At 37.0% G+C, this 15,732-nt stretch overlaps 1 protein-coding gene, 2 long non-coding RNA genes and 1 pseudogene across 16 annotated transcripts in view; 2 read left to right on the forward strand and 2 right to left on the reverse strand.

Annotated features, from left to right (window-relative positions):
- LOC105376004 (uncharacterized) overlaps positions 1-10,984 on the forward strand; it is a 57,191-nt gene extending 46,207 nt beyond the window's left edge. Inside the window, exon 6 of the long non-coding RNA XR_001746641.2 lies at positions 10,901-10,984. This is a non-coding gene — a long non-coding RNA (uncharacterized LOC105376004). The remainder of the gene's footprint in view (positions 1-10,900) is intronic.
- The window catches only part of LINGO2 (leucine rich repeat and Ig domain containing 2), a 1,275,985-nt gene that overhangs the window by 648,329 nt on the left and 611,924 nt on the right, over positions 1-15,732 (reverse strand). The window lies entirely within an intron of this gene.
- On the forward strand, positions 10,985-15,169 carry LOC124902136 (uncharacterized). Its single transcript, XR_007061443.1, has 3 exons — positions 10,985-11,064; positions 13,204-13,305; positions 15,082-15,169. It is a non-coding gene; the product is annotated as an uncharacterized LOC124902136 (long non-coding RNA).
- Positions 12,719-13,335, reverse strand: KCTD10P1 (potassium channel tetramerization domain containing 10 pseudogene 1; annotated as a pseudogene).

The raw sequence follows: 15,732 nt of genomic DNA on the forward strand, positions 1-15,732 counted from the left end.
AGTGAAGCTTCAAGTTTCTGGGTTGAGCATACCTCCTGGTCAGCCCTGGCTTCTGTGTGGGCTTTTCCACCTGTACATTAATTTTGTTTTTTTTTGTGCATTTCAGAATATCTGTGTTAAACTACAGCAGTAGAAACATGATAAAGTCTGTTTTAGAAAATGGATTTAGAATCAAGTTTATTTATGAATTTTAAAATTCAGCCACCGTGGAACATACCTGCAGGAGTTTCTTGTAATTTAATTTTTTTTTATAGTAAGACATGCTTGTTATTTTAGGAATAAAACAAGTTCTATAAGTCTCATTTAAAAAGAGCAACCTTATCCACACATTCTTCTACAACATGCCCTGCCTCCCAGTGGTAACCACTTTGCACTTTTAATTATTTCATTTCTCATTGGGTTTCACATTTTTTAATGTGTTATCAATTTTTATAGTTTATTAATTTTAGGCATTGAATTTGACCTCTTACCATAAATGATGAGAACTTGGCCTTTACAGCCTCCCCCATTTTCATGCAACCATCCTTTTAAAATAATCATATCATAATATTGAATAATGTTTAGAAATTGCATTATCATGAATGTATAAGTATAGTTTACTGTTATGCTAAATAATATTGTCATATTTCTCAATATTTTCTGTTTCTCATGAGCAAGGGTATTTAGTCTTCCCAAATATATCTGTCCTTCCAATAGCCAAGTGCTGCTCTGTCTGTTCTGTGTTTGGAATTCAGGATTAGAAAATTCTAGAAATAAGGATTCAAGGAAAGAAGTCAATTTCAGCTCTTATAGAAGGATAACTTGGGTTTCTCAAAGGTGAGCAGGGCCGTGGAGAGAGGTTAAGCCTGGCACTGCTCATCTGCCCTAGTCCTAGACCCCTTGCTCCTACTCAGAGGAGGTATTTAAAAAAACATTTTTCATAATAATTTCTTAAGAAAAAAAACTACACAAAATGCCATAAGCCATTCAGGGGCTTTTCAAAGTGACAAACAATAGAGATCCCAATGCAAGACCTAGCTGAACATAACTTTAACCTGTTTCTTCTCTAACTTGAAGTTTATATAGTTATAGACAGATGGGATTCGTAAGGCTTCATACAGCTAGAAATCCCGCACTCAGTTTCCAGAAGAGTAAGAGAAAAGGAGCTTCATATTTTGCACATTGGGAACTGAAAGTTTGAAGGTGGCTGGGCCATTGTGAGGGGAAAAAACACTGACCTTGACTATGTTGGTGGGGATCAGCTGTTACTTGCCCCCAAGATCCCCTTCCCCTTCTGATGGAGGCTGACAAGTTCTGCTGTGCTAACTCAGCATTAATGAAATTCTGAAGCAATACTGCAGGTACCATTCCTATGCCCTCATATTCAGCTAGAGCAGAAAGGCATAAAAAACTTCAGCTCTGTATTTTGTGAACAGTGGAGCAGACAAAGAGATTGTTGCTGCTCCTCTTCACCTTCCTAGTCACAGAGAGAATTGTTTCTTGCTCAATGGTCCCATTCAAAGTCACTAGCCTTCCCTCTGTCTCTCAGCTCCGGAGAATCTCAGATAGGCTGGTGTGAGTGGTAAAGGTGTGTGACTATGTACAGGGTGACCTTGGCTACCTGACTGTAGGACACCCAGGGCTTAGTATGCGATGGGTATGATAAAGCAGAATCCTTTGGTCTCCTCCTGTCATGACTCTTCCTCATGACAGGAGGAGTCCAAAGAACAAAGCAAAGGTCATAGCAAAACTGAGAAGGGGAGGAATAGATGCCACGTAGGCCAGGAGAGGGAATCTTAGCACAAAAACTGAAAGCACTCGGGTTACTCACCTGGCCACTGCAGTAGGTACCGGCTTCAGAGTTACATACACCACATGTGGACAGGGCCACATTTCCCCCTCCCTAACCCTAACAGATTCTAGCTCTGAAGGGCATAAAGGACAAGAACATTTTTGTGAAAACAGTGGCCGTTTTGCATTTTTGAAAATGTTGAAAGTGTCCTGTGGACACCGAGTTGGATGAAGAATTGCTGTAGTAGGCACTGGGCTGGCCACGTATCCATGGACCAGGGATATCTAACAAAAGGAAAATAACTTCTCTGAGGTCACATAGCAAGCCATACCTGGCTCTCAGTTCTTTATCTCCAGATACAAATCCGGAGGAAAGAATCATATAAGGATTTGAACACACTGGGGCTAGAAAGTGACTTGTCCAAAATAAACTAAGGACATAGTTCAGTAAGGCAGCCCATTCCCCCTCTGTTTCTAGCATGGTGTTTCCTCCTACACAACCTCCCACCTATGTGGAAGAGTTAATATGGTCCAAAGGAAAGAAAAACTCTTTAGCTGAAAAATGATTGGAGAATGAAGTAATATTTTACTAAAATTTTTCAAGGCTTTGTCCTCAGCCAGGGTCAGAAGATTTGAAAAATTCCCAGGGGCATCATTCACACATTTTGCAGACTTGTTATCCAGTAGGATAACAATGGTGTAAAATAGGGGAAAAAGAAAAGGGGCTTCCTGGAATTATAAGACATGAAGTCCTATACCATAAGTGTAATATCAGGACAACCAAAATGTATAAGTGTGCTGGGAGCCTGGGGATGGTGGGAGCATAAGGATACCAGGAATCAGCAGCTGGAGTCACAAATATCTCTTTAATGAGTTCAGGTTAAAACAAACAAACAAACAAACAAACAAACATGACGGTGTGGGCATGGAGAATTGAACCAGAATCCAAGATATAAGAGGGAGTCAAGGCTAGCATTTGGTGTTCTTCTCTTTGAGGTCTTTCATTTAGAAATTTTATAGTTCCTTAAATCCTGAGCTAAAATTGGGCTGTGGTTACAAGGACAGGTACAGATATTACTAGTCAGGCCATGCAGCATTTCAAGAACTTGTGGCAACTGCCTCCTATCCCCACCCTTGGGACTCAAGGCCAGTTCCTTCCTTCTACCAGAAAGCCTGAGACATAGTGCACTGCTGTGCAAGCTTAGATGTCATGCCAGTGCTTCAAAGTAAGAGGCAGTTTGGGCTGCCAATGAGTCTTAACTATGCAAGGCTGGTTCAACACATGCAAATCAATAAATGTAATCCAGCATATAAACAGAACCGAAGACAAAAACCACATGATTATCTCAACAGATGCAGAAAAGGCCTTTGAGAAAATTCAACAACCCTTCATGCTAAAAACTCTCAATAAATTAGGTATTGATGGGTTGTATCTCAAAATAATAAGAGCTATCTATGACAATCCCACAGCCAATATCATACTGAATGGACAAAAACTGGAAGCATTCCCTTTGAAAACCAGCACAAGACGGGGATGCCCTCTCTCACCACTCCTATTCAACATAGTGTTGGAAGTTCTGGCCAGGGCAGTCAGGCAGGAGAAGGAAATAAAGGGCATTCAATTAGGAAAAGAGGAAGTCAAGTTGTCTCTGTTTGCAGATGACATGATTGTATATGTAGAAAACCCAATCGTCTCAGCTCAAAATCTCCTTAAGCTGATAAGCAACTTCAGCAAAGTCTCAGGATACAAAATCAATGTACAAAAATCACAAGCATTCTTATACACCAATAACAGACAAACAGAGAGCCAAATCATCAGTGAACTCCCATTCACAATTGCTTCAAAGAGAATAAAATACCTAGGAATCCAACTTACAAGGGATGTGAAGGTTCTCTTCAAAGAGAACTACAAACCACTGCTCAATGAAATAAAAGAGGATACAAACAAATGGAAGAACATTCCATGCTCATGGGTAGGAAGAATCAATATCGTGAAAATGGCCATACTGCCCAAGGTAATTTATAGATTCAATGCCATCCCCATCAAGCTACCAATGACTTTCTTCACAGAATTGGAAAAAACTACTTTAAAGTTCATATGGAACCAAAAAAGAGCCCGCATTGCCAAGACAATCCTAAGCCAAAAAAGAAAAAAGCTGGAGGCATCACACTACCTGACTTCAAAATATACTACAAGGCTACAGTAACCAAAACAGCATGGAACTGGAGACCAAAACAGAGATATAGACCAATGGAACAGAACAGAGCCCTCAGAGATAATGCTGCATATCTACAACCATCTGATCTTTGACAAACCTGAGAAAAACAAGCAATGGGGAAAGGAATCCCTATTTAATAAATGGTGCTGGGAAAACTGGCTAGCCATATGTAGAAAGCTGAAACTGGATCCCTTCCTGACACCTTATACAAAAATTAATTCAAGATGGATTAAAGCCTTACATGTTAGACCTAAAACCATAAAAACCCTAGAAGAAAACCTAGGCAATACCATTCAGGACATAGGCATGGGCAAGGACTTCATGTCTAAAACACCAAAAGCAATGGCAATAAAAGCCAAAATTGACAAATGGGATCTAATTAAACTAAAGAGCTTCTGCACAGCAAAAGAAACTACCATCAGAGTGAACAGGCAACCTACAGAATGGGAGAAAATTTTTGCAACCTATTCATCTGACGAAGGGCTAATATCCAGAATCTACAATGAACTCAAACAAATTTAAAAGAAAAAAAAACAGACAACCCCATCAAAAAGTGGGCGAAGGATATGAACAGACACTTCTCAGAAGAACACATTTATGCAGCCAAAAAACACATGAAAAAATGCTCATCATCACTGGCCATCAGAGAAATGCAAATCAAAACCACAATGAGATACCATCTCACACCAGTCAGAATGGCGATCATTAAAAAGTCAGGAAACGACAGGTGCTGGAGAGGATGTGGAGAAATAGGAACACTTTTACACTGTTGGCGGGACTGTAAACTAGTTCAACCACTGTGGAAGTCAGTGTGGTGATTCCTCAGGGATCTAGAACTAGAAATACCATTTGACCCAGCCATCCCATTACTGGGTATATACCCAAAGGATTATAAATCATGCTGCTATAAAGATACATGCACATGTATGTTTATTGTGGCACTATTCACAATAGCAAAGACTTGGAACCAACCCAAATGTCCAACAATGATAGACTGCGTTAAGAAAATGTGGCACATATACACCATGGAATACTATGCAGCCATAAAAAACGATGAGTTCATGTCCTTTATAGGGACATGGATGAAGCTGGAAACCATCATTCTCAGCAAACTATTGCAAGGACAAAAAACCAAACACCGCATGTTCTCACTCATAGGTGGGAATTGAACAATGAGAACACATGGACACAGGAAGGGGAACCTCACACACTGGGGCCTGTTGTGGGGTTGGGGGAGGCGGGAGGGATAGCATTAGGAGATATACCTAATGCTAAATGATGACTTAATGGGTGCAGCACACCAACATGGCACATGTATACATATGTAACAAACCTGCACATTGTGCACATGTACCCTAAAACTTAAAGTATAATAAAAATATATATATATAAAAGTCACTGATTGGGAGATTCCTGTTCTGCTTACTTGCAGTCTGCTTGACAATCTACATTTGTAGCAGAAAAAAATAATAATAAGCTATTTATGACTGTCTCCCACTTCCAGAGGAGAAGCAGATGAGACTAGACCCCAAGAGAAATGAAAAGGTATTTCTGCCCTCCTGTCTTCCAGAAAGTTCTGGTCTTCTGTACTCAGAGATTGTTAATAACTTGTTTTCCCAAACCCCAAGTAAAAGTGTTAGGCACCTTTTATGCAACTCTTCTTGTGTGGGAGGTCAATTTAGATGGGTATTTTGGAGAAGGAAGATGTGAAGGTTGGGAACGCGGCACTGCTAGGTTGAAAGGTGAAAGAGATGCTTAAGGGTGACAGGGACTTGAGAAAGTAATGCAGCAAAAGATTCCAAAGTGGCAAGATCCTTGTGGAAATCTTGAATTAAGTAAGACTCTTGTTTTGTAGAGCTTATTTGATGCCTGGAGACTTCACCCTCCAATACTACTGTCTTGGAAACTCTAGCTATAGCTGTCAGTGCCCACACTTGGCACAAAGGCTGTGGAGACAACTGCCTTTAATGGACCATAAGGGCTTCACAATGAGCTTCCTGGCAGCAATCACAATGGGCAGAAGCCAGAAGCTCCATCTAAGGTATTTTTTGGATATTATGTGCCATACTAAAGAAGAAGGTCTCCATTTATTACAGATATTGATCTCTTCCCATAGTCATGGTGTGACTTAGGGTTAAAATTAATTTAGGAAAATGGAGTAATGGGATATTTTTTGTTCCTAGTGTTGTGGAACAAAATCATGCTGTTACATTTATTGTTTCATTTAATCTTCATAAGCCCTTCAAAGTAGACATTGTTTCCTTTCACAAAGAAGAAAACGGAGTATTAAAAAGGTACTATGTATTTAATGAAACACATAAAAGAAGGAAGCTGGGTTGGAGAACCTCCTCAGATTTTAAAAAAGCCTGCGGATGTAACTGACAGAAAAGGCAATCTAACTAACTTAAATAACTGATATTTGTAAATGCAAAATCTGGGAGTAGGGATGGCTTCAAACCCCAGAGTTGATTCAGAGACTCAAGTAATGTCCTAAGGATTCAAGTTATCCCCAGTTTTTGGCTCTCTGTCTTCTGTACTGAGTTTGCTTTCAAGCTTTGTGTTGTAGCGAGATGGCTGCCAACAAGTTCAGAGCTATATTTTCTTATGTTGAAGCACAGCTGAATAAATGGTGCCTCTCTCAGCAAGGCATCTACATAGTCTTATTGAGCCTTATTGGCTCCAGTTAGATCACATGTCCATGGTTGAACCAATCAATCCCTGTGGCCAAAGGTATGGAGGTATGGGTGTTATTTTTAGTCAGGCCTGAGTCACAGACCAACCCTTGGAGAAAGGATATGGGGAAAACACATCTCCACATGCACATGGTAAAAAGACTGAGAAACATAGCTTGTTTTTTTCAATAGGGTACACTTTCCAAAAAGATGAAGGAATATTGGATTTCAAAATAAAAACAGTAACAAAGCAGATATCTTCTGTAGCCCTCTTTCATTGTCCCCAATCCCATCTATTGGCTCTCTGCCACGTGTAACATGCCATTTGAGCCAATGGAACTATGTTCCATTACAATGAAAACTGTATCTTCCACTTACATTATCTTCTCAGCCATATTGGGTGGAATTTGGCTCACTTAGAGGAATGGGGATGCATTATATTAACAAATACTAATTACATTTCCTGCTTTAGGTGTGAACTCTGCTTCTCCTATTAGACTTCAGCAAATCAAGAATTCAACAAATCAAGAAGTCAGTTGATTCGAAGGCTATATTGTGCAATGATTAGATGCTCTTATATTTCCTAGCAAAAAATAAGAATGATAATAAAGCTATCATTCATTAAGCACCTAATATTTGCTGGCTCTGAAATGTTCCATACACATAATTACTAATCAGAAACATGCCATGCACATAATTACTAATCCTCACAGCAGCCTGAAAGGGAGGATACTATTATCCCTATTTACTAAATGAGGATACTCTAGTTATGTGTAGTAGATAATTTTTGACGTTCTTTCCCAGGTCATGATGAACTGTTAATCACCCACTCTTACTCACTTCCAGTGATCTTTTCCTACCTTCCATATGTTTTGTAAAATAGAGCAAATTGGTCTGTAGAAAGAAGAATGAAACAGATGGACCACAGTAGTCTAGTGTCTTCTAAGTTCCCCATAAAAGGTCTGACTATTGCTATTAGGTTTCATAAAATACTCCTAACATATTTAAAACTTCTCTGCAAGCCAAGCCCCAAAGAAAATGTATGTATTTTAATCAAAAATCAAAATAAACTTGCTCAAGATCATTTCACCAGAAAGTACTGGGGTCAAGATTTGAAACCAATTCTCTCTGATACCAAAGGCAGGGTTGAACCACTGCAATGTGCTTTCACTTCCAGGTGCTGCAACTTGAATTCCCAACATTGACATATTTAATTCCAAAGAACATTACACCAGCTTTTAGTCAAATGAAAAAGTTAACCAGCTGCTATCTTAGCTGTCAAATTTCTAGGAAGCAGCTTAAATTGTAGGAGAATATGAATCATCATGGATATCCTATGTAAATGTCAATTAGCATGGCTTCTGTTAACAATGAACTCCTTGCTTTCACTATTTAAAAAAAAAGAATAGGTAATAAAATCAACATGCTGGATTTTTCAAAATAAAAAAAAACACAAAAGTACCCGTGTTATAATATTACAGTGATGATACCTATAGTTAGAAGTGAAATGGCGTTCGTGGGTGTTATAAAAGAGCAAAATCAATTTCATAGTCTAAACTACATATTATTTAAAAGGAGCACATATTGAAAAGACATTTAAGGTTCTCTCTACATAGGAAAGCACTTTTTCTTCTGTGGTCTTTGCTAAGTAATGAGCTATTTATAATTAGCCAACTCATATTTAACGTAATTTTCTAAAGTATACAGCTTAGATTTTATTTTGCCAAAATTATCATGGTTCATGGTTCATTGCCTTCAAAATTATCAACGTGGTTCATTGCCTTCAAATCTTCACATTTGGTTTAGAGATTCTTTCTTGCTTTAATCCTCCACTAAGTCAAACTGCTTGCAAATACACTTTACAGTAAATCTGCACTAAGGGGATGCCTAGTTGTACTTTTCATTTACGCTTGCACTTGCCTTCTTCTGGAACTGGTATTTTACAGTAATAGCTACACATTCTTAGTTGTTTGCTAAAGTGAAGTCTTGTTTACAATATATAGAACAGCGTATATAAGGCGCACTATTTCACAATTGTGTAATTACAGCAGCCAAGGCTTAAGTTAATGAGTTTCCTAAATAGCTTTAGAAGAGAGATCGCAATATGAAAAGCTTAGCGTGGAAAACATAGGGATTATCTAGTCCATCAGAGCTCCATCTCAACTATTCTAGAAAGATAGCTTTATATCCTATTTCAAAAACTGTCCAAGAAATAGATTCCAAGTTAAAATCTGTATGAAAGAATACTCCCCAAGACTGCTCTATTACTGATTTTTCATGTGTGAAATGGCACTGGAGATGTGGTGTATAAATTTGAAATGATGTCTGAACCAGTTATTTTCTTTAAAACGTAAGATTTCATTTGAAGAGGACCTATTAAGTAATTCTATGAGTAAATTCACAGTCATTACCTGACAATCTGCTTAACTCCATCACGATCAGAATGGATATTCATGAGCATAAATAGTCAATATTGGCTCTAGGAAATCAATTACTCCACTGTTATCCATCAACAATCCTCTTGAGCTCAGGCTTCATATCTATCACTTAAGATAGGTGAGAAAAAACCCCTTTCAATGATATAAAAATAGCACATAATCATGTGAAGTTAAGTGGATGCCACCCAGTATTAGATGTGGGAATTGTGAGACAGAAATACATAATATCATCTTAAATGTAGTTTCATTTGCTTGTTTGTTTGTTTAGTGTATGTTGAGCTCAACTTTTTCCATCTAGTACCTATCTTTCACTCATTCCATCTCTGAATGATCTGGATAGGTTTTCTAAACAAATGACTTTATTAAGATGATACCTCCCTCCAAATCATTGAAAGTGTTTCTGACACAAAGGTGCCCTTTGCAGCCTGGAAATTCTACTAATTTTCAAAATACAATTAATTTCTCAGGGTTTAAAGAATGAGTTTTAGTCTATAGTCTTATACTTGATAGTGTCTGTAGCAGTTATACTATTATACCAATAGTGAGTGTACAAAAATTACTTGTGGTTATAATACATAAAGTGAACAGGATTTTTCTTCATGGAAACAACTAATACTTAATGTAATAGAAAACGATATAATATATGATTTACTACCACAATTTCACCTATAAACTACATTACAATGGCCCAAAGACTGAGGCAGAAACTAGGAAAGTAGGATCACAGCGGGGGAAACCCTAGAGTTGTATTGTCACATTGCCTGTGCATCTGTTTTCATGTTTGTACAAATTCTGGCAACCAGATAATAATAGCTGATGATGACAAATAGATATTTGACCAATTAAACATAAAGATACTAGCTAAAATGGGATACTTTTGCATAAAGGTAAAACACATTGCTTTTTTAAAAACGGAATTTGTGTATCTTTTTGTGTATCATTTTGCACAAATGCACACTGTGAATACATGTAAAACTAAAATTCTGCATTGAATACACATCACAAAGAAACAGAAAGGCTAATGGAACTTTTTACTGTAACTTTTGGTAAGGTCCTAATGATAGCATATACTTGAGAGGGAAGGATATTATAACTATTTTTTTGAACACTGAAATTTGAAATTTGCCATTTTCCTTTTTTCATACCTAATATATGATACAGAGGTGCATATTAAAATACTGAGGTAGAGTTTCTGCACAGTAGAAGAGGATTTGCCACAAATTTTCTTGGCCACAGGGTTCCAGTTATCACAATCAAGTGACTTAGTCTATTCAATAAAACTGACTAAACATATTTGACCTGATTTTGAAAGTTGTTTCTTTTTTTATAACTGTAAATAAAATAAGTGTTCACTTTTTACCAAATCTTAGGCTAGTGTTTCAGTTGGATGCTTCTTAACAAATATATTGACTTTTTTCTCTAGTGATATCATAAGAAAAATCAATTCTTAGTAGAGAATATTCTATAATAGATGCATGAACCAGCCAACGATGGCTTTTATCTAATTGCTATATAGATTGTTTTAAATTTTCTCTGTAGGCTTTAGTGCTGGATAATAAACAAGAGAATCCAACTGTATTTTGTAGTACATTTAAGACCTAGCTTGTAAAGTCATTGCAAATATTTTATTTATTCTCAACAATGTATGATATCAATGCCTTTAGCATAAAACTGTAGCACTTTCTTTGATGAATACATAATATACATCATTATCTTTATAAGTATATGCACAGTCTGATAGTATAGTTCAAATGACCCATTAATTACAACTTTGAAACAAAGCAAGTTCTGCTCTTTTCAGGACAGCTGGATTGATAAAGGGGACTGAGCATGCCTGTCTTATCCAGGCACCCGGTAAACAAGCCAGGCTCCAGTGCGGGTCCCCTGTGTTCCATGGCTATACATCTCATGTTTATATGCTTTAAAAAAGACAAATACGTCTATCTATACTGGCAAGATGCAAAGGTATCTATCAATTCTTTATAATTAGTAACTGAAAGCAATGATTCAATGATAAAACTATGAGAAAAATACAAAGATATTCTTCACGGGGTTGAATTTACAGTAGAGAGGTTGACATAAGATGAGTAATATTCCCTCCTCGAGGCATGAAAGGGTGTGCCTGGGGACCAATTTAATTTCTAAGCATGGGGTAAGGCATCTACTAGCTTTGGTCCACACAGCTTAATAGAGAAAAAGGCTGAAAAGTAAAAATATGAATCTTCAATTGCAGCAGTTTGCAAGTCCTCAAAATCAACTGCACTTCTTGGAATGGAGTTTGTTAACCAGAAATGCAATCAGAAGTGCCGAAGTGAAGAAAGAGCTATTAATAGAGAGGAACAGTCACTCAAAGATTACAGCTTAGTGATCTTAATGCAGTCATGAAATTGGACATGTGGGGGTCTCTGCAAAAGTCAAACCAAGAATTGGTCAAGGCCACAAATGGCTTGTATCTTAACAAAGCTAGGCATCAAAAGCAACACTAGTAACAGTATTTTAAAAGTACAAAGGTCTTTTGTTCAAGTCTTTTCATCGTTATCAGATGCAGCTATTTATCAGAAGCTGTAAGTTTGAAACCACATATCATAAGGACTTTTGCCTAAGCAATAAGATATTGTATAGTCATAGAAGTACAGCTTCCATGAACTAGTTTGTTGGGGTTTTATAATTATAAAACTATTTTGTATGTATGTCTGTATGTATGCATGTATGTATGTATATATGTATTTATTTATTTTGAGACAGAGTCTCATTCTGTTGCCCAGGCTGGAGTGCAGGGACACAATCTCGGCTCACTGCAACCTCCACCTCCTGGGTTCAAGTGATTCTCTGGCCTCAGCCTCCTGAGTAGCTGAGATTACAGGCGTGTGGCATCATGCCCAGCTAATTTTTGTATTTTTAGTAGAGAAGGGGCTTCACTATGTTGCCCAGGCTGGTCTCGAACTCCAGGCCCCATGTGATCCACCCACCTCTGCCTTCCAAAGTGCTGGGATTGCAGGTGTGAGCCACCATGCCCAGCCTATTTTGTATTTTTAATAGTCTCTCAGTTATGAATGAATAAGTAGGTAGCTTATAGACAGCTATGATAACTAATAAATTCAGAACTTCTTTGAGAGTTATCACACTTAATTCCAAAGGAAACTTATCTAAAAGAAGGCTAAATAGGTAGTAAACATCCACAGAAACAAATACTAACAACATCAAAATGCAAGCAAAAGTTCTTATATACATCTTACACTCATTCATACTTTTGTTCTGAGAACTAAAATATCCTCCCAGTATTCTCACTTGAGAAAAATAAATAGCTCAGATGGAATTGTATATCAATAAAGGAGTGTATTCACTTTGGTAAAGAAGAATTTGTTCTCCATATCAAAAAAAAAAAAAAAACAAAACAAACAAACAAACAAAAAAAACGCCAAATAATGATCTGCTTATTTTAAAAGAAGATTTCCAGACTCCAGGGAAAATAGCAGGTGGCCAGGAGCCTGCCAAATGAGCCTGCCAGGAACACAGCAGGGAGGTTGGGTGGGAGCGAGGACAGCTCATGTCCGCTTGCCAGTTCAGTGGTGTGAGCAGCCCAGTGGCCAGCTGTGTGATGTGGATACAAGCCACTCCAATCCTCATCCTTTTCCAGATGGTGGAGTCTTTGGCTGCTCCACCTGTGGCCTCCAGCAATGCATAATTAAATTCCTGGCTGTGCTATATACTTCATTCAGGAAATGTCCATTCTCTCTTTTAAAATCCAGGCTTTGAGGAATTCTACTTTGGTCTGTTTCTTCACAGTTGTGTAGATGATGGAGGTATAACAAAAGCAGCAGTCTTGAAGCCCTTATACTAAAAGGATCAAGAGCAAATTCAGTCCCCTATAACATCTTTTATAAGTAGGATCCACCATTAAACTTCATGGATAGCATGTCAAAAAGTTAAATGTTTTTCATCAACTTGTTGTCAGATATGTTGGTTTATGAATAGTTGTTGCTACTTCTGTTATATAGCAACTGCAAAGCTAGCTTATTTAAAGTTACTATAAGTTTTTAGTCTTTATTGGAAGAAGTGAAAACAGTCTCTGCAGCAAGACTCAAAAGTACCTTTGTTTTCTAGGCCTGCCAGGGATTTTTCTATGAGGCCCTAAACCATGGTCTCTGCCAACAACTCCTCCATCTCCCCATGGCTCTCAAGAAATAGAACTGCTCCATCCTGAAGGTAATTGAATATCTTACCTAAGTGATTTCCTCATTGTTTATTTACATTATGGAACATTTTTCTTGCAGAGTTAGAGTATAATCTGTATGTAATACTGAACAATATTATTGTAAGCTGCACAAAAACATACCCATAAATGAGTTCATTAAGTATTAGATATTTAAGTAAATGCTGTTTTAAATGGTTTCTACTGTGTAAAAATTGTTGGTGGCTTGTTAAATAGATGTTTGAAAATGTTTAAATTGGGAAAAATTGCTTGGTGTTTTTCTATGAATGAGGAACAGCTTTTTTTTAATATTTAAAATAATGAAATATCCAACATATTTTCAGGAGCAAATCAGATTTGGATAATAAAGAAAGTTTATTGTTTAACTACTTTTCTTCTCTGTAAAGAGACTTTAATAATGTCTTCCCATTTTAACTGACAGGCCATCAATAGATGGATTTGTTTATTGTTTACCCAATTATTAGTCTAAAAAGCACTTGCTTTAATTCACTATAAAAATGTATACTCAACTGGACCATTAAAACAAGACTAAGTGATTTATAGAAACGCTTTTTCTATATTAAATAAAAATAATTTCAGCAATTAAGCACAAGATTAGCTCTGAGGCTCCTGTTAGGCAAGGAAACAAGAGAAACCATGTGTGTTACATGGTATTTACTGTTTAGTGAATTGAAACATACCAGCATAGGGTTGGAACAAATGTATTTCCCAACACTGTACTCATTTATTTACAATAAATTAAATGAATACAAAATGCTTTTGAAAATGGCAAAATATTCTACAATAATAAAGTATCACTAGATTCTACTATAAAGAGCTACCACAATTCCACTCCACCATTGCTATGAAAAAAGATGATCATTCAGTGAGAATGATATTGGTGTACATTTTCCAAGAAAACTATGGAATGAAGAATCAGTTTATACTTAAAAGGTAATTAATTTCAGAAAAGCAGATTTATTCAAAACACATAACAATAATAATGGCTTAAAGGGACTTCTGTTTGTTTGTTTCCCCAGTAATGAGGACAAAGTCAGCTATGAATGAGCTTATTTTTGACTCCACCATTACAACATGACAATATTGCATTCATGACACGTTATAGTTTGTATTGTTTCATTGTTATATGTTTATATCAATGAATCCACAACATTCACTAAAGACACAATACTCTTTTCCTAGAAAAAGGAAGCAATGTGTTTATAATACCAAAAATGTCATAAGCACTATTATAATAAGCATCTGAGAGTATCATCTCTTTGGTCACATGGATGCCACTGAAGCATGAGAATCTGTCTGTGAAGGCCAGTGTGAATTACTAAATAGAGTGATGCAAAGTGTTTCCTGAGGAATGAAATTTTTATTTTATTTAATATAAATCGAAGGTCAAAATGAGCTACAAAACAAGGAGCTGTCTGGAGTTGTTTTCAAACGAAGCATTTTTAATAACTTAATAACAAGCAGTAATTAGCATACTAGCTGTTTGTGGCTAAATACAGCCTTTTGAACTGCATAGAGGCACGAGAATAGCCTGTTCACTTAACTAATTTACAGATTCTTTCTCAAAGTCTTGTTTTTACCATGAATTTACACTCTGTATATAAAAAGAAAGAATATCTTGATACCATGACCTTGGCCACACCTTCCACATGGTAGATCCTAAATCCATAGATTAACAAAATGGAAATAAGAGAAAAAAATTGAGAACAAAAATAAAAATTAATATGTTTTGCTCCAAAATAAACCATGTTTTTTTTCTCTGTAAACAGATCCCTTGGAGCCTGTTGAGTTTTGTGGAAAAGAAAATCACATAAAGTTTTCTCCGTGACACACCTAGCAAGGCATTTTCAAGTCCAATTTATTTACACAGGCCTAGCAGTACCCTGGAGAATGCATATTTTCATATTTTCTCCCACTGTATTGAACCCATGCTTTGTAGCAGATGTCATAGAGCTGATATCGCAGATAGCCAAGCTTTGCTGTAGAAGCATGTGAAAAGACAGACATCCAAAGAAACATTGCAAATGTGTACTACATTATCAAACTCTCCAAATTTAGGCTTATTCCTAGAATACAAATATTTCTCAACCCAGCAGGCAGCCAGGTGCCCGCAAATCCTGAAATTATAAAAACTTTGGCCAAGTTGATTTACTTCTGCGGTCTCTTGTTGAAAAATGTGTTGATTCACATTAATGGCTTGATGAAGGGGGGACTGGAGGACTAGAGGTATCAGGGTGAATAGGACTTGATGGGTTTTGCTCTGTAATCAGAGTGTCACTCAATCAGAGTGTGTGGCAATTGAGTGAGTGGCACAATTAGCATCTTATTATGGTGTTTGCTTTCTTCTCTTTTTATACGGCATAATTTGGTACTTTATTATACCATTTCACATTCGTTAGCACCTCATGTAGCACTCATTC

The sequence above is a fragment of the Homo sapiens genome, chromosome 9, assembly GCF_000001405.40.
Source record: "Homo sapiens chromosome 9, GRCh38.p14 Primary Assembly".
NCBI classification, from domain to species: Eukaryota; Metazoa; Chordata; class Mammalia; order Primates; family Hominidae; genus Homo; species Homo sapiens.